Raw genomic sequence first — 26,605 nt, forward strand, 5'->3', positions numbered from 1 at the left:
AACCTGAGTGCTTTCTGCCTCTGGAAGGTTTGGGTGAACTTAATCAAAAAACCTCTAGGGGCCAGGCACGGTGGCTCACACTTGTAATCCCAGTACTTTGGGAGGCCCATGTAGGTGGATCACTTGAGGCCAGGAGTTGAAGACTAGCCGGGCCAACGTGGTGAAACCTGTCTCTACTAAAAACACAAAAATTAGCTAGGCAGCTTGGCACATGCCTGTAATCCCAGCTACTTAGGAGGCTGAGGCAGGAGAATCGCTTGAACCTCAGAAGTGGAGGTTACAGAGAGCCAAGATCATGCCATTGCACTGTAGCCTGGGTGACAGAGTGAGACTCAAAAACAAAAATCTCAAAAAAAAAAAAAGAACCACAAACTCCTCTAGGGTTTGGTGTGTTCTGGGAGATTAATTTTCGATAACATTTTTCAATTCTTTTTTGGTTATTTGTATTCACTTACGCTACCTTTCCTGAATAAATTTTATAATAAATATTTATGATTAGAAACCATCTGTTTTGTTTTTCATAGTTGTACGTAATTTTTTTAAAAACTAACTTTGGCATGCACATCTGACTTTGTGTTGTGTTTTTTGCTCTAAATTTAGGTTTATTGAAGTTTATGCTTGCTTTTTATTTCTTTCTGTTACTACCCTAGTTCTTCATTTTTGGACTGTTGATGTACTCCTCTAAATAGCTTTTGATCCCTTTGCTGCTTCTCTTTCCTTTTTGATCCATCATTTTAATTCTTTGCAAGATTAATCTTTATCAGTGATTTTTTTTTTCTTTTGAGACGGAGTCTCGCTGTGTCACCCAGGCTGTAGTACAGTGGTGCAATCTTGGCTCACTGCAACCTCTGCCTCCCAGGTTCAAGTGATTCTCCTGCCTCAGCCTCCCGAGTAGCTGGGACTATAGGCACCTGCCACCATGCCCAGCTGATTTCTCTATTTTCAGTAGAGACAGGGTTTCACCGTGTTAGCCAGGATGGTCTTGATCTCCTGACCTTGTGATCTGCCCGCCTCTGCCTCCCAAAGTGCTGGGATTACAGGTGTGAACCACCGTGCCCAGCCTATCAATGATCTTGTATGTTTTAAACTTAAGCTCAGGAACATGCAATAATTACATATTATGCATAGAATAAAATCCAACTTTGTGGTATTTAGAGTTATTCTCAATGTAACCTGTTATATTTTTCTAACATTTTTCATTACTTAGATTACAAAGTTTCATAGATTTCTCTAAATTAATGTAAGTATTCTCTTTGCTTGTGTTGCACTCCCTTTTACTTTATCATCTACTTCTCCAATTTTCATACGTCTCACCCTTCACTATTCAAATCAAACTAAAATTTTTTAGAGTTTGGTGTCTGAAGTCCAGTGATACTGTATCACTTCATTGGTTGTTTTTCATTCACTCAACCTTCAGCAAACATTTACTTTGACCTGCAGTGTTTGAGGCCCTGTACCTTGTTCTGGAGTATACAAGACGAGCAAGAAACATTCTCGGGCCTCTGGAAGCCTAAAGTTTAATAATCAAGATTAATTGCAATACATAAATGTAATTAAATTTAAAATTAATAAGAATCATGGGAGAAGTTTAGAAAAGAAGGGCTTTGGAAATCCAGAACTAGAGATAATACTTTGGCTTGAACAATTGGTTCAGGAAAGTTCTGTTATACAGATGACAATTAAATTTGTTTTTTAAAGGATGAGTAAGAAATGGATGCTAAGGATGAGCTACGTAGACAGAGACAATTGAGAGTAAACAGTGAATTCTGAGTCTTTCAAACAAAACCTGCTCCACCTGCATCTTCATCTCAGTTAATGGAAATGCGATTTTTCCATTTGCTCATACCCAAAAGCTTAAGAGTCATCCTTGATTCCTTTCTTCCCTTTGTTCTTCATATCCAATCTGTTAAGAAATCCTCTGCCTTCAGAATATATTCTGAATCACTAACTCACCACCTCTATCACTAGTTCCTAGAATCAAGCCACCATCATTTCTTACCTAGTTTATTGCCGAAACCACTTAATGGGGCTTCTACCCTTACCCCACAACAGTCTGTTCTCAATACTTCAGGTAGCATGACCCTTTAAATACCTGAGAGTTCATGCAACTCCTCTGCTCAGAATCCTCCAGTGGCTCCCTGTCTCACTCAGAGTAAAAGCCCAAGATGTTTTGTTTGTTTGTTTTTGAGACAGGGTTTTGCTTTGTCACTCAGACTGGAGTGCAGTGGTGCAGTTGTATTTCACTGCATCTTTGAACTCCTGGACTGAAGCGATCCTCCCGCCTCAGCCTCCCAAGTAGCTGGGACTACACCTGTAGCCAGCATGCCTGGTTAATTTTTTATTTTTATTTTATTTTATTATTATTTTTTGACATGGAGTCTTAGCCTGTCACCCAGGCTGGAGTGAAATGGCGCTGTCTCGGCTCACTGCACCCTCCGCCTCCCGGAGTGATTCTCCTGCCTCAGCCTCCCGAGTAGCTGAGATTACAGGCACCCGCCACCACGCCGAGCTAATTTTTGTATTTTTAGTAGATACGGGGTTTCACCTTGTTTGCCAGGCTGTTGTCAAACTCCTGACCTCAGGCGATCCCCCCACGTCAGCCTCCCAAAGTGCTGGAATTACAGGCATGAGCCACCGTGCCTGGCCAATTTTTTATTTTTATATAGAGACAGGATGTCACTATGTTGCCCAGGCTGGTCTCAGACTCCTGGCCTCAAGCAGTCCTTTCACCTGCGCCTCCCAAGTCAATGGAATTACAGGCACAAGCCATCGTGCCTGCACTAAAATCCCAAGTTTCAGCAGTCACTTCATTGGTCCTTGTATGTTCTCAGTTTGACCTATTGTTCCCTTCCCAACATTTTCTATCACCAGTTCATAGACTTCTCTAACTAATGATAAGACTTGCTTATGTTGCCCACCCCCAACCCTGGTTTTATATTATCCTTTGCTTTGCTTTCTCACCTCTTTCTCCTGTAACTTGTTCCATCCTTTTTGTTGTTTCTTAAATAAACTACCTATAATCCTGCCCCAAGATCTCTGCTTTTGAAGTTTTTTATACTGAAAACCCACTTCCCTCATATATTCATATGGTTTCATCTCTTGTCTTTGTTTAAATGTCACTTTAATAAGGCCTTCAGTGACTGCTATTTATTTATTTATTTATTTATTTAGAGACAGGGTCTTGCTCTGTCACCCAGGCTGGAGTGTAATTGGCGCAATCTCGGCTCATTGCAACCTTGGCCTCCCGGGTTCAAGCAATTCTCTTGCCTCAGCCTCCTGAGTAGCTGGGATTACAGGCTTCTGCTACCACACCCAGCTAATTTTTGTATTTTTTAGTAGAGACAAGGTTTCACCTTGTTGGCCAGGCTGGTCTCAAACTCCTGACTTTAAGTGATCCGCCCGCCTCGGCCTTCCAAAGTACTGGGATTATAGACATGAGCCACCGCACCTGGCCGTGACTGCTATTTAAAACTGTAAACTCTTACCTGTCATTGTTTACACTCCCGTTCTCTCTCGCCTCTGCTTACTTCCTTCCTTAGCACTTACTACCTTCTGTTATGTTATATAATTACTTGGTTTTTTTTCTACCTCTTCCCACTGGAATGTATGCTAAACTAGGGCAAGAATTTTTTGTGGTTGTTGACAGCTGCCTGTCCAATGTCTAGGTTGTAGATGGTGTTCAATATGTTTTTGTGGAATGAATGAATGATGTACAAAAGCATTACAGTGTTGGAGATACAAAGGATATTGTAGAGTTGAGTTGTTTGAAGGAAAAGATAGTCTGTGTAAGCTATTAATGACAAAGTTAAATGGCAGACTTAAGTGTGACCTGGGCTGTGAAAACTATAAATGGTGGGCTCAGAAATAAAAGGTTTCATTTGCTAAGCAATGGGGAATCACCAGGGACTTTTTAATGTTGAAGTCACATGATCTTAACAGTACTTTACATGGATTAGAGAGAGGAGAAGTCTAGAGACAGAATATCTTTCTTTTGGTAGTAGTGGTTTTGGAAAGGAGGGTAATGATTATGAAAAATAGTAAGGTTGTATACTTTCTGAAAATACAATAGAAAACATGGGGCCATTCTAGACTTAAAAATATTTTAAAAAACCGATGTGTACTCTTAGGTTGAATCTATTTTCTACATTTTTGAGACAGTTGGGAAACTGAATATTAGCTGTATATTAGGTGAAATTATAGAATTAGTAATTTTATTTTGTGGTAATATTTTGGAAACAATTCATAAAGCAAGTGTTCTTATTTTAAAAGATGCCTATTAAAATAAATATTTTTGACAGAAGAAACTTTGAAAGGGATAGTACAAACAGAGTCAGTAAGACAGTAATTGATAGACTGCGAAGTCAGAGTAGAGGAAGAAAATTGGATGCTCCAGTGGTTTTTTACCTGGGTGACCAAAAGAATAACAGTGCCATGGGAAAAATGGAGATGTCAAAAGGAGCAGTTAAAAAGTGTAAAGGGGAAATACGGTGTTTCTATCATTTTAATAGTTTTATAGAAAATGTTTAGTTGATAGTGAAGTGACTCTAGTTTGTTTCCTAGTGTTACTGTTTTAAGTAGGCATGAAATTACTTTACTGTCATCTTACATAGTTTTTGTGTCCTTTCATCCTAGAAGTTGAACTTCAAGAGTACAGTTGTCTTGGTTATCAGTAGCTTTGCTGTCTTTATTTTTCTCTTTTAAACTAATAATTTTTGGATTTAACTCAGGCTTATAACCAGATTGATTATCATTTATTTCTGGAATGTATATAGGGTTTTCTTATTTATAGAATCTCTTAAAGATCTCACTGTTGTGTCTGTTTTTTAACAGGGGTGGGTACATGGTGGGAACAAGAGTTGCCTTCAACTCTAGATGACACTATTATTAATAACTAGTTGCCAGACTCTACTCTGAGAAACAGATTTCTTAATGACTCTCCAACTTTCAGGAAGTACGTGCTCAGATGGTAATTCTGAATAACAGCAAAAGCTGCTGCTATTTTCAGTACTCGTCCTTTTACTGAGTTTAAAGAGTTAATTGAACAAGGTAGAGAAATTTAGTGAAAAAGGTGTCAGCTTGTGATGAGCGCTTTATCTGGTTGTCACAGATCACTTTATTTTGTTTAAAGTTCGCTGACTTTCCAGAAGTAAGACAAACTTATTAAGGACTGTGTTATATAAGGTACACAGAAAAACTTCAAAAAATTAACTTATTAATAGTGTGTATTTTTTTCAAAGAGAGTGTGGAATGATTAATTTTACTGACTAAAAGTTTTAGGTGGCCACTCTTACAGAAAAAACCCAACACCTGTTTTGTAATATATATTTTTTTCTCTCCAGCTTCAACAATTAATACAAACCTTACAGATACAACAACAGAAGCCCCAGCCTTCCATTCTGCAGGCCCTAGATGCTGGTCTTGTTGTTCAGTTGCAAGCTCTTACGGCACAACTTACAGCTGCAGCTGCAGCTGCCAACACTCTTACTCCCTTAGAACAGGGAGTCTCCTTTAACAAGGTAGAAATTAAAATATCGGATCAAGTCTATATGAATTATTAAATATTATATACTATCATGGATTTTAATTCTATAAATAAATTTTATTGTAGACTTTCAGTATCTCCTGTACACTGTATAAGACAGTCTGAATTTTACAAAAGGTTCAAACTTCTGAAAAAAATTAAGTAATTAAAAAAATTTTTCCTAGGCCAGGCACAGTGGCTCACACCTATAATCCCCAGCACTTTGGGGGAGCGCAAGGCAGGCAGATCACTTAAGGCCAGGAGTTTGAGACCAGCCTGGCAAACATGGTGAAACCCCATCTCTATTAAAAATACAAAAATTAGCCAGATGATGCGTGCCTGTAATCCCAGCTACTGGGGAGGCTGAGGAAGGAGAATTGCTTGTACCTGGGAGGTAGAGGTTGCAGTGAGCCAAGATTGAGCAACTGTTCTCCAGCCTGGGTGACAGAGAAAGACTCTTGACTCAAAAAAAAAAAATTTTTTTTGAAACATTTTTGAAACATTTAAAATATTTTCATTTGACTAAAAATAACTAGTCAGTAAAATCTTGTATTCACCACTGAGGCAAGTGATTACTTTCTGAGCTTGTCTGATTTCTTTCATGGGTGCCACATTTTACTGTGATGCTCTGGGTTCTGTAATTTGGACCTGCAAAAATTAAAATTCTTTAATCAATATGTAAAATGTTTAAAGGAAACTTCTCTACAACTAGTCACTATACTGTAACTATAATAAGTTGATGCCTAAATTATTAATAATTAAAGTGTTTCTAAAACTTAAAATCTTTCATGTACAATTTAGTGTGTGATATTCTTAGTATGCTTATTAATTATGGGAATATCATACTACTTGGAAGTGGTGTTCATATTTTTAAAATTTGTACTTTTTATAGGAAAGTAGATACTGATTTATTGGATTATTACTTAGACTGTTTTGGCCAGCAGCTTCTAAGTCTAATATAGTCTAACACTAAATAGCTAGACCACATAAAAAGCCTTTAAATTGAGCATTCAGAAGAATAACAGCATTCTAAGATGAGAACCATATTAGGAATAGATCCATTGAATATGGCCCTAGATGTTTTATCAAGCTTATTACCATGGAAAAACCACCTAATTATTTTAATTCTTAGTCTTCTGTAAAATTTGAGTATTAGTGTTTATCCTGCCTCTATCATAATTTGTTTTGTTATGTAAGATAATACATATCAAAATGCTTTAAAGAAAAGATCTACTCAAAACACTTTATAATAGTATAAAGTGATACAAAATGTTTATTTACACATTAAATGATAGATATAACGGAATGCCATTGACATTTAAAATAGCATTTGTAACTTGTATTTGTGTGAAGCACTTTTTAATATGTCTGTTTCTCCTTCTTTCCCCCAGAAGTTGATGGATAGGTTTGATTTTGGGGAAGACTCTGAGCATAGTGAAGAACCCAAAAAGGAAATTCCAGCTTCACAACTGTAAGAATTTTTTCTTTATAGCCATAGTTTTTTTATATTTAGTGGGATGTTGCCATCTGAATTACTAAGTATACTTAGTAAGTTGGGATTATTATTTCAAGCTGTTGAACCTCTAACATTATACAAAGGTGGTAGAGATATGTCTTGTTGTCTCTTTGTATTATTTTGAGTCTTTTCTCAGATCTTTGCAAATAGACTGTATCAAAGTTACCTATAAGAACATTGATACATATTGGTAAATCTGGTTGTAATATTTTCCATATTAGGCTTTAAGTTATTTAACTTAATTGTAAGAGTGGTTGGAATACTAGGAATGAAGCTTGCTTCTAGTGCTTAGAGGCCACTTCTAGAAAGCATATGAAATTGTGGAAACACATCAACCTAATGAGAATTAAGGATTGGAGTTATGAGGATTTTTTTTTTTGTAAAGAAATGTGTTGTATGTTTTTATTAAATCAGTTACTTTTTTTTCCCTAAACAATTCTGCAGTGCCCAAGGTTCTGTGAGGGTATGTGAATGGACTAGTAGGGGGAAGATGTTGGAGGAGGCAGGGGTAGAAGTTGGGAGAATGGAAGAAGGATGAATGGTGAAAGTCTGTGGGTCTCTTGTTTCAAACAGAAGTTATTAGTTGTATATATTGGGGTAATAAACAAAAACATAATTTTAGAATATGTTAGATACAAATGTATCATTTTAGTAAAATGATTCCCCTTGACAAAATTTAAAAACTAGTATTTTAGATTATGAATTGCAAACTTGCAAGCAGCATTTGAAATCATGTTGATCAGTGTCCTAAACAATGTAAGAATCTCCTTTAACAGTCCTGATGATACAGTTTATTTATCCAGTATTTTAATGCTTTCTGTAATGAGAAGTTAACTAATTGTTATTATTGTGTGTTCTTTTGTTGAGCTGAATCCTGTTTCCTTTATTTTCTATTAATATACACTGACCCATGTTTTGCTTTCTGAAGCAAGGAATCAAATTTACTCCGCTATCTTTAGAGATGTAGCTTTTCATTATTTGAAGACAGGTATCATTCTTCCCCTTAGGTTTATTTGCTTCAGATGAAGTACACTTTTTTCCAACTGTTTCAAGACTTCTCACCATCCTGTTTGGCTCTTTTGGGATGCCCTTTTTATTGTTAATGTCTTACCTTGTGGCACCCAGAATCCCAGGTGTATTCCAGGTGTGAATTTCCAAGAATATAGTTAAACTATTATTTTTTCTTATTTAAACAGTATCTGTCTCTGTTAACATACCTAATAATGTATATGATTTTCTAAAGGAAGAATATTAGTTTTATAAATTTTATGGTCAATTACAATGGTAGATTTCACACATACTGATTGATAGACTGTTTTTCTATCTCATAGTAAGAGAAGGAGTTAAAGTAACAATGTTTAAATGTTTAAACTTTTTATAAATATTGAGATTTTCTTAATATGCTCTAATGAAAAAGCAGTAATTTATATGTATTTAACAGCCTGAGATGGTAATATCAGATCTTCAGCAGAGCATCTCTGACACGTTATCCATCTATTGATGTACAATTGAAGAATGTATTTTTCTTTTAATAATTAATGTTCTCAAGTATTCTACTTTAAGTATTAAAATTGCAAAAGAAAACATGCAGTAGAATATGTTTTATTGAATTGACTTTTTTGTTTTCTTTGAATACTCAGTTATTTTCATAGTATCTTTAGTGGGTTTTAAAATATGTTTCCACCTGTTTTTCCTTTTAGTTCTCACGTTTCAGAATCTGTGAACAATTCCATTTTTCATCAGATAGCAGAACAACTACAACAGCAAAACCTAGAACATCTCAGACAGCAGCTCTTGGAGCAGCAACAGCCTCAAAAGGTTTATAACCCCATCTTGTGGTCTTTAGAGTTATTACTATTTATATTCTATAAATTGGCATTTTTGTGGGTTGGCTTTTTTTTTTTTTAATTGGTCTTAATAGAATATTTTCTCAACTATTTAGCTTTTACCAGCTACTTTATTTCTTTCTAAAGTTTGTTATGGTGATATTTTTTCAACTCTTATTAGTAAGACCATTTTTTTCAGGACCTTTATGGTTTTTTCTGTAATCAAATTGTGTTCTGGTAACTTATGAATGCACATTGTAGAAATTAATTTCAGTGTACTGGAAGTAGAGAACAGGATGGAGGGGGTTTCAGAATTACCACTTAAAACTAAACGTGTTTTTCTCTCTGTTCCCTATCAAGCAAGTTGATGATTATGTTAATGGTGACAATGATGATGGCCATGTAGATTGCTATCTTTAATTTTTAAAACGTATTTGCTGTTAGCATGTAGCAGGAGCTTTATTAGGTATGTGGTAGGCTTGTATACATTTAACCCTCAGGCGATGGGCATTATGACTCCCATTTTATCCCAGAGGAAGTGGAAGCTTGGTGAGATTAAACATCTCATGCAGCAGTGTACAGCTAGTGTTATATATTATCTGACTCAAGATGTGCGGTTATTTTATGCATAGCTAAGAATTTTAAAACATCGATAACTAAATGTAACATCCTTTTGAGTTGTAAGGATCCTTTAAGTTCATCTTACGAATTTGATAATCTTTGACAAAATATTGCACCTTAGAACTGATAAAATATGTTAAGTTGTAGAGCTAGGATTAAATTTATTTCAAAGCCTTTTTCTGCTGTATGTGAGAAATGGTTACGCATGTAAACTGTTCAGAATAAAAGTATTAGGAAACCCCCTTTCCCTCCCCAGCATACATCCTAATATTAAAAAAGTTTTGGCATTAATGAGTTTAACAAAAATATCACAAAATATTTTTGAGTATGTGTTACTTGTTAGGCAAGTGTTACATACAGAGATGAACAGAAATGAGGTTGTGGCATCAGGTAACCTCTTCTCTAATGGAGCACGTACATCTGTATGAACACCTGGCAGAATTCTTTATTTTTGTCATAGAGGTACAGCTGAAGGATTCTAGGAGCATGGAGGGGGGAACAGTTATTTTAGATGGAAGAGATAGCAAACTTGAGACATTGGGGTCTGAACTTGACTTTTTAATGCAAACAGTAATATAAAATGGATGTTAATGATATTTGCTGCATTGGAACTCATGCCTAGAATTATGAGAATGGAATTTCATACCTTTTTTTTGAAGAAACAATTCTGATATAAGTGGCCAGAGTAGGGGCAGTATTTTATGTCAAGCAAATGTATCTGCCTGAGAACCCAGAAGTTGAAGATAGAACACAATTAAGAACATTTAGATGTTGTTTAAAGAAAAAACAAAGTTGTAACTCAAAACAAACAGCTCGTCAGTGATGTAATAATACAAAAATCACAGAACTGCTAAGAGAGGCAGGAGGTAGTCGTGATGGAAGAATTTATCCAAACAACAGATTTGTTGAGCTATAAATGTAACACTTTGTGAATTGCTTTAGTCATAGTTTCATTTTAGAAGGTTTAGCAGAAGCACTGTAATCGTAGTACTTTATGTTTTTAATGGTCTCTCTCTTAGCAGAATCAAGTAGTCTTAACAAGCTTGTAATTAGCACCATGTTATTGAAGTAAAAATAAACTTGAGAGAGAGCGAGTCTGTTGTAAGAATCTCACCTACCAAAAAGAGAGAACTCTGGGCTTAGTTAATTACTCTATATATCAGTTCCAAAATTTCACAGCTTAGAATAATAAGATCCCTTTGAAAGGAATAGAAGTTCTGAAAAACCTCATTGTTCAAAAATGAATCTAATGAAGAAAAGAGAGTGGTAAAACTAGAACTGTTTTTATAAGGTAGATAGTATAAAACCTATGAGAGATTTAGAATGCAGATCTCGGCTCACTGCTACCTCCGCCTCTCAGGTTCAAGCAGTTCTCTGCCTCAGCCTCCTGAGTAGCTGGGATTACAGGCATCCGCCACCGTGCCCTGCTAATTTTTCTGTATTTTCAGTAGAGACGGGTTTCACCATCTTGGCCAGGCTGGTCTTGAACTTCTCACCTCGTGATCCACCCGCCTCAGCCTCCCAAAGTACTGGGATTACTGGCGTGAGCCACTGTGCCTGGCCTGTTTTTTCTTTGTAGCATTTTTTATTAATGCCAATTATCAGTGAAAATCTAGATTCATTTAACTGACTGCCATTATGTATTTTTCATGCTATAATTTATTTATTAGTCCTCTGTAGTTTATATTTTCACAATTGAAAATTTACTTGATTTTACCATTTTAATATTTTAGTCCCTTCCTTTTATGGAGCTGTTCTCTGCTTTTATATAAAAATGAGTTTATACAAATGTTTAATTTTGGATTGATTACTTTATAAATGATTTAACATGGAATTTCTTTTATGTATGGCTCATGTTTTTAAACATGTAATTGTGATGTTTGCTGTGTTTACATTTTCATTCATAACAAAAAGTATCTCCCAATCTTTGTGTGTTTGTATATGTTCTCAATAGGCCACTCCTCAGGATAGTCAGGAAGGAACCTTTGGGTCAGAGCATTCAGCGTCACCATCACAAGGGAGTAGTCAGCAGCATTTTCTTGAACCTGAAGTCAATTTGGATGATTCCATAGATATTCAGCAACAGGTAAAAGTAAATGTTTTTCTGGGTCATAAATTTCTAAAAGTAGCTAAAGAAATCATAAAATATTTTATACTAGCAGTGCCCTGAATATATTTTTCCCACACTTAAGCTCCACTTTGTAATTGTTTCACCTATTAGGCCAAGCTTGTCCAAGGCCTAAGCATGGCCCCTAGGCCAAGCACATGGCCCAGAACTGCTTTGAATGCAGCCCAACACAAATTTGTAAACTTTCTTAAAACAATATGAGATTTGTTTTTGCGATTTTTTTTTTTTTTTAAGCTTATCAGCTGTCATTAGTGTTAGTATATTTTACGTGTGGCCAAAGACATTACTTCTTCTAATGGGGCCCAGGGAAGCCAAAAGATTGGACACCCCTGTATTAGGCATTAATGCTCCCATCGTCAATATTTTTAAAAACAGAATTGTCAATGTATAACTCTGTCTCAACCAGCCTTTCTGTTTGTTTGCTGTTCTTTTGACTTTCAAGGATATGGATATAGATGAAGGGCAAGATGGAGTGGAAGAGGAGGTCTTTGAACAAGAAGCTAAGAAAGTGGCGGTTCGCTCAAGATCAAGAACACATTCACGATCTCGTTCAAGGTTCTACAATGATATTTAATAATAGCCGTGTGTGAACTTTAAAATGTTGGCTTTATTTCTTTGCATCAGGATGAAAGGAAATGTTTCCTTGGGATGACATATTTTTTCTCAGTCTCTCGGAAAAAAAGTTATTCCAAAAACAAGATAACCTTTGTTCTGTTTTAATTGGTATATCTGTGGCTATTTATTTCAGTAATTTACATAAGATTGGCAGCCATATCATGAGACAGGGATTTTGAATTATATTTTATTTTAGTTAATATTATGATGACACCCAATTTAGAATATTGTTGCCCCTGAACAACAGTTAAGTCAGGCCATATTTCCTGGATTCCACTCATCTCACAGTGATACCAAAAATGGTTATAAAAATGAAACTACAAAATTTATTTTTATAAACATTAACTGTAATACCAAACCGTTAGGAAACAGTTTTCTTTATGAGCTTAACTTAAAGACATCAGTCTTTAACATTTTTGTATCCTATTTTTTGCGTATGAATGCCCCTGAAAATCTGAACAGTAAATGGTGTAAGAGGGGCAGTACGTTTGATGAGTTTTTCAGTCATTTCTTTTTCTTGTCACAAAGTTCTTTATATTTATCTATTGCAAATGAGAGCCTGTCAGTTCAACTTTCTCTAAACCCACCGCGTATCACTGAATTATTTTCCTGAAGCATTAACAATCTTAATGCTGAAGATATCTTCATTTGTCATTAGCAGCATCTTACTAAGCATTTTGAAGAGAGCTCAATGGCATGTGGTTGACAGGCAAAAAAGAAAGTGTTTCAGTGTCACCTTCTACAAGCACCATAAAATTTTATAAGTTGGAAACTACTAAGCAGAATTATGTAGTGGCCTAATGCTCTGACACTTAAATGGTCTTTTAATTTTCTTTGGTCTTTCATTCCTGTTCTTCTGTTTGAAAAATGAGTTGGAATGCACTAAGAGAAAGTGAGGCCCTTTCTAGAATCTTTTTCCTCTTCATTGTGAATAGTCACCCATACTCAGAATCATTGCCAACTAATATGGACCTAAGCAGCACACGGATTTAAGTAAAATGCATTTTTGAGACTTGATTTTACTTCAGAATATTTTAACATATTGTCACTAAATATAAGACAACTTTTTTGTTATTGTTTTTTCCCTCACTTAGAAGTGACAGATTTGGTAGAAAGAAAACATTGTCATTAGAAGTAAAATGAAAATTTTTTGTAGATCACCAAGAAAACGAAGGTCTAGGTCACGGTCTGGCTCTAGAAAGCGTAAACACAGAAAGCGATCACGCTCCCGCTCAAGAGAAAGAAAGAGGAAATCATCACGGTCGTATTCAAGTGAAAGGAGAGCCAGAGAAAGGGAGAAAGAACGACAGAAAAAGGGATTACCTCCAATTAGATCTAAAACACTAAGTGGTAAGTAACATATATCTGCAACGCTTTGGTTTCAATTAATATTTAAAAAATAGTTATCTGCTACAAAGTCTCTCAGCCAAATTTTATTTTCAGATTAAGGTTAAAAGTGGTTTGGTAAATGAGTAATGTCTCTGGTTTTTGTAACATGATAGAGAAGAGAAGAAGAAGGAAGAACAGATTCCATTCAAATACCAAGGTCATTGAGGGTTGATTTTTTGTTTGTTTTTCAAATGCAAGTTAGAAAATACATATTGACTGAAAAAGCAGACTAGGCTGGTATCTGTAGCATGGACACAGTGACTTCTGTCTATAGTATTCTTAGCAATTATGGCCACCAGGTCTGTAGGAATAATTATTAAAGGAAGCATATACTTAGCTATATCTAATTTTTAAAGTAATTATAATGTTAATGGGTTAGCACTACAGGATAATTCCTACTGTACAAACCTTGCACGGTTACATGTTAGTCAATTACGTATGATTAGAACAGATTCGGTAGTGGTGGGGTTTGGTTTTGGAGCAGGTGTGGGGAGGGTTCACTTGGTAGGAATGTTAAGCACAGCAAAATAAGTTTTAATTAGTGCCAAATTTTGCCTAGGGTATTCTTGGTGGGTTATGACTTTTAAGATGAACTAAGAGTTTACATATGGGCAAAGAAGTACATAAAATCGAACAAATTGTCATTCTTTCCAAAGAGCTAAACATTGATTGTGTTATCTAATTTCTGAAGACTTCCACGTAAATTCCCTCTGCCAGGGAGTTAGAAAAATAATTGGTATAATTTGTGCTACTAGAGCGTCTTGGAAACCCAGGCCTATAATAAAAGGCAATAGCCATCTTCTTACTAAGTTTTGGGAGTTCTTGTAGGCCTTGGCTATCTTGCATGAATTTTACCTGGTTGTGAGAGCTAGTGTCAACCTGATAATATTGATTATCCTTGCTCTAGAAGTTTGTTTGTCCCTTAGGGTGATGGTATACATCTAAACATTTTAGTGCTGGCTGATAAAAGAAATAATGTCAAACGTTTAACCACAAAAATCTCTACTGTGCTTTCTCGCATGATTACCATTAAGACGTTCAGAATTATCTATTTATTTGCCATTATTAGAGTAAGGATTTTATATGGAGTCGCTCTCATTTAATTTCTCACTTAATTTGTCATGTTGTTGATTTCACTGTTTACACAGTTTTTTTTTTTTTAACCATTTAATTTTCTATTTCATTTTCCTTTAAGTTCTGGGATACATGTGCTGAACGTGCAGGTTTGTTACATAGGTACACAGGTGCCATGGTGGTTTGCTGCACCCATCAACCCGTCATCTAAGTTTTTTCTTTTTTTTAAATTATACTTTAAGTTCTAGGGTACTTGTGTACAAAGTGCAGGTCTGTTACATAGGTATACATGTACTATGTTGGTTTGCTGCACACATCAACTTGTCGTTTACATTAGGTATTTCTCCTAATGCTACCCTTCCCCCAACCCCCCATCCCCCTGACAGACCCCAGTGTGTGATGCTCCCCGCCCTGTGTCCAAGTGTTCTCATTGTTCAATTCTCACCTATGAGTGAGAACATGTAGTGTTTGGTTTTCTGTCCTTGTGATAGTTTGCTGAGAATGGTAGTTTCCAGCTTCATTCATGTCCCTGCAAAGGACATGAACTCATCCTTTTTTATGGCTGCATAGTATTCCATAGTGTATATGTGCCACATTTTCTTAATCCAGTCTATCATTGATGGACATTTGGATTGGTTCCAAATCTTTGCTACTGTGAGTAGTGCCGCAGTAAATACGTGTGCTGTTTACATAGTTTTTAACTGTGGAATTTATTTTTTATTTCTGTTTTATTTTCATGGGCACAACAAACAGCAAAAAAGAAAATAAAAAGCACGTGAATAAAAAACGCATAACCAAATACAGGCATACCTTGTTTTATTGCACTTCACTCCATTGTGCTTTGAAGATACTGCCTTTTTTTTTTTTTTTTTTTTTTTAAATAGGTTGAAGGGTTGTGACCACCCTATGTTGAGTACCTCTCTTGGCACTATTTTTCCAATAGCAGGTGCCTACTTTGTCTCTATGTCAGCTTTTTTTTTTTTTTTTTTTTTGCAAAAAGTATTTTAAAATTAGGGTATGTACATTTTTGTTTTTAGACATAATGCTGTTGCACACTTAATAGGTTACAGTGTAGTGTAAACATATCTTTTGTGTGCACTGGGAAGAACAACTTATGTGCCTTAACCTTACTGTGATATCTGCTTTATTGTGGTGGTCTGGAACCAAAGTTGCAGTAGCTCCAAGGTATGCCTATACAGTGAAAAATAATCTCTGATTGTTTACCTCACAACTCTCCTTATTCAAAAGCAGTATCAATTTCCTGTGGTTTGTATTCTTTCTTAACACATTTTAAACATATGGTAGTGTTTTCATACGATTTATTGGTCTTTAGCATGGATTTTAGAACATAAGGTTTTCGTGAATAGTCTAGGGGATATAAAGCACCAGTGAATAATAACATTCCAGGAATCAAGTGTCCCTTCTGCATGGGATGACAAGAATCATTAATGCTTTCTGGGGAAAATAATGGAGTTTCCTATGGGAAAAATGTGTAGAGAGATAATATTGAAAGAGATGGGAAATACAGAACAGAGTTCAGGGAGATTAAGGCAGCTGGAATATGCAGAACCAGTAATAAAGAGGAAAAAGAGAATGCCAGGTGCAGCGGCTCACACCTGTAATCCAAGCTACTTTGGGAGGCACAGGCCAGCAGATTGTTTGAGGCCAGGAGTTTAAGACCAGCCTGAGCAACAAAGTGAGATGCCATCACTACCGCCAAAAAAAAAAAAAAAATTAGTTCGGCAAGGTGGTTCACACTTCTGTAGTCCCAGCTACTCAAGAAAGAGGTGGGAGAATCACTTGTGCCTAGGAGGTTGAGAAGCTGCAGTGGGATATGATTGTGCCACTGCACTCCAACCTGAGGAACAGAGCAAGACCCTATATCAAAACAAAACAAAACAAAAAACAGAAGAATCCTTAAGGCTGAGTATACTGGCTCAAACCTATAATCCCAGTACTTTGGAAGGCCAAGGCGGGAGGATTGCTTGAGGCCAGGAATTTGAGACCAGCCTGGGAAGAGCAAAACCATGTCTGTACTAAAAATAAAAACTTAGCCAAGCATGGTGATGGTGTGCCTATAGTTTCAGCTTTTGTGGAGGCTGAGACAGGAGGAGGCCTTAAATCCAGGGAGTAGGAGGCTGCAGTGAGCTATAATTAGGACATTGCACTCTAGCCTCAGCCTGGGTGACAGAGCAAGACCTCGTCTCCAAAAATAAAGGGGCGGGGGGATCTTTTCCATGACAGAGCCCCAGACTTCTGTTAAGGTTTTGTGGTAGATTGGATAATGGCCCCCTAAAAGGTATCTACATTTAAATCATTGGGATTTTTAAATATGTTACATTGTATGGCAAAAGGGACTTTTCAGGCCCTTTTAAATTAAAGATCATGAGGTGGGGAGATGAACCTGGATTATCCAGAAGGCCCAGTTTAATTACACGGGTACATAAGAGGGAAGCAAGTACGTTGAAGAGAAAAGGTGATGTGATAATGAAAGGAGAGAGAATTTGGGAAATGTGGAGGTGGTTTTGAAGACGAAGGACGGGACCATGAGCCAAGGAAGGCAGGCAGCTTGTAGAACCTAGCAAAGGTAAGGAAACAGATTCTCCCCTAGAGCCCTCTAGAGGGAATGCGTACCTGCTGACCCATAGTAGATCTTCAGAACTATAAGAGAATATATTTGTTTTATTCTAACTTCATGTTATTTTGTTATAGCAGCAATAAAAAACTGTTACAAGGCTAGGCATGGTGGCTTGCCTCTGTAATTCCAGCACTTTGAAATTACTTGAGACCAGGAGTTTGAGACCAGCCTGGGCAACGTGGTGAAACCACATCTCTGCTAAAGATACAACAAAAATTAGCTGAGCATGATGACGCACACCTGTAGTCCCAGTTACTCGCGAGGCTGAGGATCACTTGAGCCCGGGAGGTGAAAGTTGCAGAGAGCTGAGATCGCATCACTGCACTCCAGCCTGGGCAACAGAGTGAGACCTGTCTCAGAAACAAACAAACGAAAAACAAACCTAATGCAGAGCTCCTTGAGACTTTGGTTGAAGATTAAATTGAATATGCATAGGGTAAGACTTACAGGAGATAAACAGCTTGCAGGGAAAGAACAATGACCAGGGACTCTGTGTTAGCTAAGTGATTCCTAAAGCTTACACAGGTCTAGAAGATGTTAGAGTTCTGACTAGCCAGAGTGGAGAGACCTGGTTGAAAAGCCTAGGGCACTCAGTAGTGATCTTGCCAAGGGTACCTTCATGTGGGGCTAAATTAGCCATAGAGTAAAACCTGCCTGAAACCTGTCTTATTATAGATCAAAGGTAGCCAGAAATGTGGACATTGACATAAATCCAAATATAACATATGAAAATTCTGCAAAGGTGTCAGCTATAAATATTTTTTAAATAAATGTCTTCTGTAAAAGGAGGCATTCGTGGAGGCATGAACTGTACAGCTGAAAGTAGGCAAGGTGTCTCATGTTTAATATTTGTTAAGGGGATGTGGCTTTCAACAGTTAAGTATCTTTAAGTCTTTCAAGGGGTTAAGGGGTTCTGATTTGGCCATTTTCCCTTTGTATCTTCCCAGAAAGGATTGTTTCCTTAAGGATAAGATGCTGTTTTTAGATTTATCTCTTGATTAGGGAGACACATTCACTTAATCCTTCCAGTACAGAAAGACGCTTAAAAGGTTCACAGGCCGGGTGCGGTGGCTCACGCCTGTTATCCCAGCGCTTTGGGAGGCCGAGGCGGACAGATCATGAGGTCAGGAGATCGAGACCATCCTGGCTAACATGGTGAAACCCCGTCTCTACTAAAAATACAAAAAATTAGCCGGGTGTGGTGGCGGGCGCCTGTAGTCCTAGCTACTCGGGAGACTGAGGCAGGAGAATGGCATGAACCTGGGAGGCGGAGCTTGCAGTGAGCCGAGATTGTGCCACTGCACTCCAGCCTGGGCGACAGAGTGAGACTCCGTCTCAAAAAAATAAATAAATAAATAAAAGGTTCACAAATGGGATTACGGTGAGAAGTGGGTTTGAAACTTTGTTGCACATTAGAATCACCTAGGGAATTTTACAACTCTCAGTTCCTGTCTTTGACACTGCATGCCACTCATCCTCTTAGAATGGGACCCTGGCATCCACAGATGGTTCAGGTGTGCAGCCAAGCTTGAAAACAGGTGACATGTAAGTGGTTGACTTGGCAGAGATGTGAATTAATACTTGTGATTTTAGTTGTTTTTAAACATAACAGATGCAAGTGTTCATTGACAATTATTTTTAAATATATTATCTTAAATTTAATTATTATGTGTATTACTGCTTTTTCCTCAATTACTTTTCAAAGAAGTAACTATGTCTAAATGATTTAGGTCATTTGTCTCTTGTGTCTTGACAGTATGTAGTACTACTCTCTGGGTTGGGCAAGTGGACAAGAAGGCAACACAGCAAGACTTAACCAACCTGTTTGAAGAGTTTGGACAGATTGAATCCATTAATGCAAGTATCAGTTCTTAATAATTTAAGGTTTTAAAAAAGGAGGTTTTTATTAATACAAAGAATCACTTCTGTTCCTAATTAGCCCAGTAATGTCTGCCTTAAATAATACACATCTTTAAAAGGATTGCTTTACTTTGATAATGTCTGTGTTTATTTTGGTGCTGTTTCTCTCCTTAATTATTTTTATTTTTTAGTGGAATTCTAACAAAATGTTCTTGAGTTTTATAGCAGTGTACCATGCTTGATTCCTGACATCATCAAATGTTTGAGTTAGCAGGAACCCTATGTGTGGTCTGGTTTAATTCCTTTTTTTAAAAAACTGTCTCTGAGGAAATGGAGAGTTCCACAGAATTGTAGTCACTTGCACATGACCACAGAAGCAGTCGTGGAGACACAGCTGGACTTAGGATCCCAGTTTCTTTTGCCTTTTTCTTCTCACTCTCTCACCCTCTCGTGCTCTTTTACTCTCTTTTTTATCAAACAGAGCAAATGTTAGGTAAGAAAATCAGTATGGCCAGCGAATTGCTAGTAAGTTGAGCATAACTCTTTCACTCTTGATTCTTGCACTAGTTTTGCACCACTCAGTCTCCTCCTTTGAGTCTGTGTTTTATTCTTCATGAGGCCTGATGCTTTTCCCTGAGGGTCAGACATCTTTGGTTAGCTATTTTAATTGTTCTTTTATTTAAAAATTACGTGCTGTCTTTCTTCCTCCTGCTGTGTGGTGAAATGTTTTGTAGTCATTTGTTTGGGGAGACATTTATCCATCCATCCATCCATCCATCCTGGTAAACAGGAAGTATGAGGAGACTTAATTCATCAGGCGTCTGATTTCATTCCCTGTGGTTACAGTTTTATGTCTGTGGGATCTTTTTATCATTATTTATCAGAAAATTGCCCAGTTTTCCTTTCTAGTCTTAGTTCCCAGTCTTCCTTAAATGGCCAAACTTGACTTTTCTGTAATAGTAACAGAATTCTTTATTTGAGTTGAGTTGAACCATTTTGCATCTTACTTTTGACTGTGTGTGATCTTTTTGGAGCCTCATAAGAAGCTGGTTAAGTAATTCAAATACTGTTGTTTTCTAATGAGGAAACTAAGTGATTTGCTTGAGTTACACAGGTGATAAAAAGATGATTGGTTATGGATTTCAACTTGGGTACTTCAGATTTCTCTTTCTTTACCACAAGAGTGCTGTCGACCTCTCTTATTCTTTTGTCTTTTTAGATTTTACCTGTCAAAACATCACTGTCTTTCAGAGTCTATAATCATATACTTTCTCTGAAGTTTCTTTCTGATTTACCCCTACCTTTAAACTAGTGATTCTCAGTTCTAGCTGCATATCAGTAATATGTCCTGACATTTGAAAAATTAGGGATGCCCATGCTCGATGTCTTCAAATTTTTAGCAAAGTGTCACAGCTGCATAGGTGGTTCTGACGCACAGCAGGAATCATTGCTCTGAACAGACCTTGCATCCAAGTAGCATTTTGGATTTTCCTGTTTGATGATCGTATTTGTAATCTTTCTTGTATCACGGTCCCTTGAGCATCTGTTTGCCTTATCCCTCTCCTTTATTGTATTATGTTTTGAGAGCATAGTACTTATAAATAATAAGCACTAAGTTATTTTGTGAAATGAAGATTCATAATCCACTCATTTAATTTTGGGGACTTCAAAGACAAAGTCCATTCAGTTTGGCATTTAGTAGGTCATTGGTGAGCTTGAAGAGAGTAAAGTATTTTCCAGTGGGTTGGTGAGGAATTAGAGCTAGATTGTAATAGATAAAGAAGAATGTCAAGGTTTAGATATATTTCTCTTTTAATAAGTTTGATATTAATATTAAAGAGGCAGTAGCTTGAAGTGTTAGCAAGGCTGAGGAAAAGGTTTCTATGTAAGCTTTAATAACAGATATGGCTTATTAGGTATAGAGTGAAAATAAAATGATAGAATGCCTTTTGAGTTTCTCAGAAAGAAACAAATGCTGTGAATAGTTTTCTGAGTTAATATATTAAGGATAATTGTATGGTCTGGTGTAGAATAGTTAAATGCTTTATAAATCAGTCTCAGATCTTAACACTGAGGCTATTTTCTTTATGTTAAAACTTTGCCAGAAGCACTTGAACAAAATAAAGTTTTATAAGACTGAAAATTTTTATCATCAATTGTTTCAGATTATGGATTTTATATTAAGGATAAGATAATTCCCCAAAAGAAGAATCCTCTTTGCATTACTCAGTATAACATTTGGAAAAATTGAAGTAATATTAGGAATAAATTGTTGCCTTCAAATATTTTGGCCATATAATACTACTTTCCTTTTATCTGGTGGTATTATGTATACGAAGTTATACATTTTGTTTTGTTTTTAATAGTTCTTTTTCTGTATTCAGAAAATATTGCCATGTGATATTTAAGATTTCACATTTATCGTGGCTTATGATACCTAATTGAGTTCTGAATTTTGGGATTTTAAAAATTGAGTTATTAATTGTACATGAATTGTACCTACTAATAAACAGCTGGAGGAAGAAAGGGGAAAATAAGTCAGTAATCTATCAGAATTGAAGTATTAGTAAGTAGTCAATGTTTTGTGTCATTTAAACCATAAAATACCAGAATGAGTTTCTGTTCTTATACCTTTTCTTAAAACAATTTTTTTTATTAGATGATTCCTCCCCGGGGCTGTGCTTATGTCTGCATGGTTCATCGACAAGATGCATTTCGAGCTCTTCAGAAACTCAGTTCTGGATCATATAAAATTGGGTCCAAGGTCATTAAGGTGAGATTTGGTGGATTGGAACTTGGGGTAGGGGGGCAGTATTTTTAATGTCTGTTATGTTAAAGTCTGAGTTTTTCACAAGAGGGTCACAAGCTCTTCTTTTATTGGATTATTAGAATGTCTCTGTATTATATTCTTTTTAAATGTTATGGACAAACCTCATCAGAAACTTATTGTTTCAGTTCGTTGAGTTATAGAATTAGATGTAGGTAAAAATAAGTCCAATAACGAGAACTTTAGTCAATTACTTCCTTGAAATTACACTTGCACAGCTTTCTGAGTCAACTAGGGCACCATTCTATGAGTACAACGTGTTCATTTTATAGTATTGTCTTTCATTCACTTTTCCTCCCAGTACTCCTTAACTATACCTTCTAATTATATTATTGATTTCTTTTTTCTTGACATCTTTTTAAAATATAAACCAGGCCCTTGTGAAGAGATTATCTATCAGAATATTTTTATTTTCTTCCTAATCTTTATACTGAGAGTTTTTTTAATATCTTTCCATTACTTTCTATGATTAACTCAGTTTGATTTCTGTTATTTGAAGTTTATTTATCTTATCAGTTTCTGCAACTGAATTAAAAACTTTAACTACTTTCATTAAAGTTAATATATGCTCATCTTTTTTCATTCATGACTGAGTTTCTTGTGTAAACTAAAGTGTCCCTAGTCTCCTCTGGAATAAAAGATTTTTTCTAAAATAACAGACCAGGTGTGGCAGCTCACACCTGCAGTCCCAGCACTTTGGGAGGCTGAGGTGGGAGGATCACTTAAGCCCAGGAGTGTCTTAAGAGCAGCCTGGACAACATGGCGAGACCTCATCTCTACAAAACAACTTAAAAATTAGCTGAGTGTGATGGTATGCTTCTATGGTCCCAGCTGCTTGGGAGGCTGAGGTGGGAGGATCTTTTGAGCCCATGAAGTCAAGGCTGTAGTGAGCCATGATCATGCTACTGCACTCCAGCCTGGGCGACAGAGTGAGACCCTGTCTCAAAAAGTGAAGAAAATGCTATTCTAATCACCCCTCATGTAGGTTGACATTTTTATGGTGAAAAGTGGATTTGGATTTTCTTTGGAACTGGACTGCACTATTAGAGTTACAAAAAGAAGTGGAAATCCTTTATTGTAAATACTATGTCTAATGTAAGTTTTATTTTAAAAAACAAAACTGGTGAGGCACAGTGGCTCACACCTGTCCAGCACTTAAGGACAACCCCTGTCTCTACTAAAAAATACAAAAATTAGTTGGGCATGGTGTTGCCTGCCTGCAGTCCCAGCTGCTGCAGGGCTAAGGCAGGAATATCGATGGCTTGAGCCCGGAAGGTCAAGGCAGTGAACCATGATCATGCCACTGCACTCCAGCCTGGGTGACTGAGTGAGACCCTGTCTCAGACAAAGGGAAACAACTGGAAAAAAATTCTTTTGGCTACTGTTAGTTTTTCAGCTTTGCTTTTCCAGCTGTTTTCTAAAACCAATTTTAATGTGTTTACATTGTTTAAATAAAATTTTGAACTTTTTACCTTGTTTTTATAGTATGTATGTATAACCTTTCTTTTTTCCTCTTCCCATTTACAATAGATCGCTTGGGCTTTAAACAAAGGTGTAAAAACAGAATACAAACAATTCTGGGATGTGGATCTTGGAGTTACATATATACCATGGGAAAAAGTTAAAGTGGATGACTTGGAAGGTTTTGCAGAAGGAGGCATGATTGATCAGGAGACTGTAAATACTGGTAAGAATTCTAAGGTCTTTTTATTGTTAAAAAAAAGTATGCTTAGAAGGTTGTAGCTGAAGTGAATTTGGGATGACAGCGTTAACTGTGTATCCTGGATTCATCTCCCAAAAAAGAGAAAAGATACATTACTATGCCCTAGTGTACATGCTTAATGGGACCTATTTTAATAGATGTCAAAGTATAGATTAGAAAGTATAGAAGTCTATATAAATGTAGCATTTTAAAATATATGTGTGTTTTTTTCAATTTGATACTTGAGAGTTATGTGTGGGAGGGATTTTTGAAACTAAATATTTCTAATTGCTTCAGTTTAAGTGGGAACTTGAGAAGGTTTTTTGAAACACTTTGCAGATTATTTTGAGTAGTATCCATGTTGAAAATAGCAGCAATAGAATCGTAGTTTAGGGAGTTCAGATGCATACAATGTTATATACTTTCTGGGATGCCTTTTACAATACCAAATAATCATCAGCCTGCTTTTTTTTAATCCCCAAAATTATCTTTTTATTTTAAAAGATTTCAATTAAAAATTGACAAAATGATTTGCAGTTATAACCAATAGGAAATCTAAACATTTGAAAAAGAACTGAAATAGATGCATACACCTTTTTTCTTCACACCTTAGCTCTTTTATCAGAGTTAGCTAATTTTCAGAATATTTGTTTCTCAGACCAAGGTAAAATTTTGAACCATTTTTTTTCTTCCTGTCAGGCCTATTCCTCACCCCACCCCGCCAATGGCTGCTTATTCCAGTGTATTCACTTAATACATATTTTAGTTTCTACTGTGTGTCAGGCCCAATTTTAGGAACTGGAATTATGGCAGTGAGACAAATAGACAAAAATTCTTCCTCTTGTAGAGTGTAGCGCAGAGGTCAGCAACCTAATACCCATGGTCCAAATCCTGTTGGTAGCCTGTTCTGTAAATAAAGTTTTCTGTTGGTAGCCTGTTCTGTAAATAAAGTTTTATTGAAACATAGCCATGCTCACTTGTTTTCCTATTCTGTTTTACTTTTTTTTTTTTGCAATAACAGTTGAACACTTGCAGCAGAGAACACATGACCCATAAAGCCTCAAATGCTGTAAAGTTTACTAGCCTATGTTTCACACATTTATTATCTGTGAAAAAAACAGATAATAAACAAAATAGATAAACTATATAGTACTTTAGTGTCAATAAGTTCTAAGAAAAAAATCAGGGAAGGGAGATGGGCAGTGTGGGTGTGGAGGTATTGCAGTTTTTATGTGGTTGTAGAAGATCTGATGGAGAATGTGATATTCGAAAGGGTAAGGCAGGCAGCCATCTGGGGAAAGAGTATTCTATATGGAGGGAACAGCAAGTGCCATGTTTGTATTCAAAAATAAGAAGACCATTATAGCTTGCGCAGAGTGAGTGAGGAATGAGTAGTAGGAGATCAAGGCAGATAGGTACAGAGGAGCAAAGTCATGTAAATCTTATTTGTCTTACTTGATCTTTACTTTGAATAAGATGGAGAAGCATGAGAGAGGAACCATTAGAGCTTCTTTGTTCTCTTTTTGCATAGCTGTGTTTTCAGAAGGATTTTATTGTATTGGATTAATACTCTCCTAGTTGGTCTTCCTTTGTTGTATTTTGTGATAAAAAATTGAGTACGGTTAGTTCCTCTTACATCAGCCAGCCATTGAGATACATATCTATTGTATCTCTTCTAAGTGTTTTCTTTAGATGAAATATTTTAGTGTCTTTCCTTTGTGTCTCATGTTTCATGGTTTTTTGAACTCCATAGTATCCTAATCAGATTAATCTGGGCAGAAATCTAGAGTGGCACCTACGGTTGTGGATATATCTTAAAGATGTGCCAAGGTAGATGAAGGATTTAGATGTGAAATAAATGAATACAAAGAAGAAAATGAAAAGTTGCACCTATCCAAAGGAAATCAATTTCAACTATTTTGTTTAGAGTGGGAAACTGTGAAAAGCTCAGAACCTGTTAAAGAGACGGTCCAGACAACTCAGAGCCCAACTCCAGTTGAAAAGGAGACAGTGGTCACAACCCAGGCAGAGGTTTTCCCTCCTCCTGTTGCTATGTTGCAGGTTAGTGTTGAAGTGGGGTTTTTTTTTTCTTGTGTTGTTTTACATTTCTGTTTTTAATCATGTATTTACTTTATAAAACCGGAATGAAAATCTCCATATTAGAATAAATGTTTGTCAGTAGTGTTAGGGAAAAGAATATTTCTTTTAAATAAAAAAAAAGTCTGCTAATGCTGTGGTATCATTGTGCTATAAACACCTTAGGTTTAAAATAAAGGTAAATATGGAAATATTGTTTCTGAAAACTCAGAGGATTTTTTTAGGTTCATGTTTTTCTGAGGAGTCAAATTGATAGAACAGTAAGTTATTTTAATGAGTTTGATTAAAATTTTTTGAAAAATTATTTTTAGAAATGATGTCATTCATATTTAAATATGTTTGTTTATTGAACAAATATTTATTGAGTACTGGCTCTGTGACACTCACTCTTCTAGGTATCAGTGAAAAACCCCCAGAAATCTCTGCCCTTTTGGAGCTTTTATTCTCAATAGTGGTGACAGAAAACGTAAAATAAATATGATTGTGAGATCCTATGGAAGGAAAAAAGTAGCGTAAGGCTGATCTATTTTAAACAGAATGGTGAGGATAGACCTAATTGAGAATGAGAAATTTGAGCAATGACTTAAAAGCACCAAGGGAGTTAACCATGTGGATATCTGATAATGAACATTCTGTTCAGAGGCAACAACCAGTGCAAAGGTCCCACACCAGGAATATGGTTGGTGTGGTCCAGGAGTGTTAAGTGGGCTAGAATAAAGCCAGTCCTCTCTAAGGACTTTGGCTTTCACTTGGAATGAGATGGATGGTGGGTCTTTACATGTGACAAAAAG

The 26,605-nt window shown here is 36.3% G+C and overlaps 1 protein-coding gene across 5 annotated transcripts in view; it reads left to right on the forward strand.

The window, feature by feature from the left end:
- Positions 1 to 26,605, forward strand: part of SCAF8 (SR-related CTD associated factor 8) — a 100,867-nt gene that overhangs the window by 63,254 nt on the left and 11,008 nt on the right. For all 5 annotated transcript variants that reach the window (NM_001286188.1, NM_001286189.1, NM_001286194.1 and 2 more), the window contains 10 exons: positions 5,340 to 5,516; positions 6,913 to 6,992; positions 8,738 to 8,855; positions 11,439 to 11,570; positions 12,055 to 12,167; positions 13,384 to 13,577; positions 19,085 to 19,185; positions 21,848 to 21,961; positions 23,546 to 23,702; positions 25,645 to 25,778. In NM_001286188.1, coding sequence (NP_001273117.1) covers positions 5,340 to 5,516; positions 6,913 to 6,992; positions 8,738 to 8,855; positions 11,439 to 11,570; positions 12,055 to 12,167; positions 13,384 to 13,577; positions 19,085 to 19,185; positions 21,848 to 21,961; positions 23,546 to 23,702; positions 25,645 to 25,778 — 1,320 coding nt within the window. The remainder of the gene's footprint in view (positions 1 to 5,339; positions 5,517 to 6,912; positions 6,993 to 8,737; positions 8,856 to 11,438; positions 11,571 to 12,054; positions 12,168 to 13,383; positions 13,578 to 19,084; positions 19,186 to 21,847; positions 21,962 to 23,545; positions 23,703 to 25,644; positions 25,779 to 26,605) is intronic.

The sequence above is a fragment of the Homo sapiens genome, chromosome 6 (genome assembly GCF_000001405.40).
Source record: "Homo sapiens chromosome 6, GRCh38.p14 Primary Assembly".
Lineage (NCBI taxonomy): Eukaryota > Metazoa > Chordata > Mammalia > Primates > Hominidae > Homo > Homo sapiens.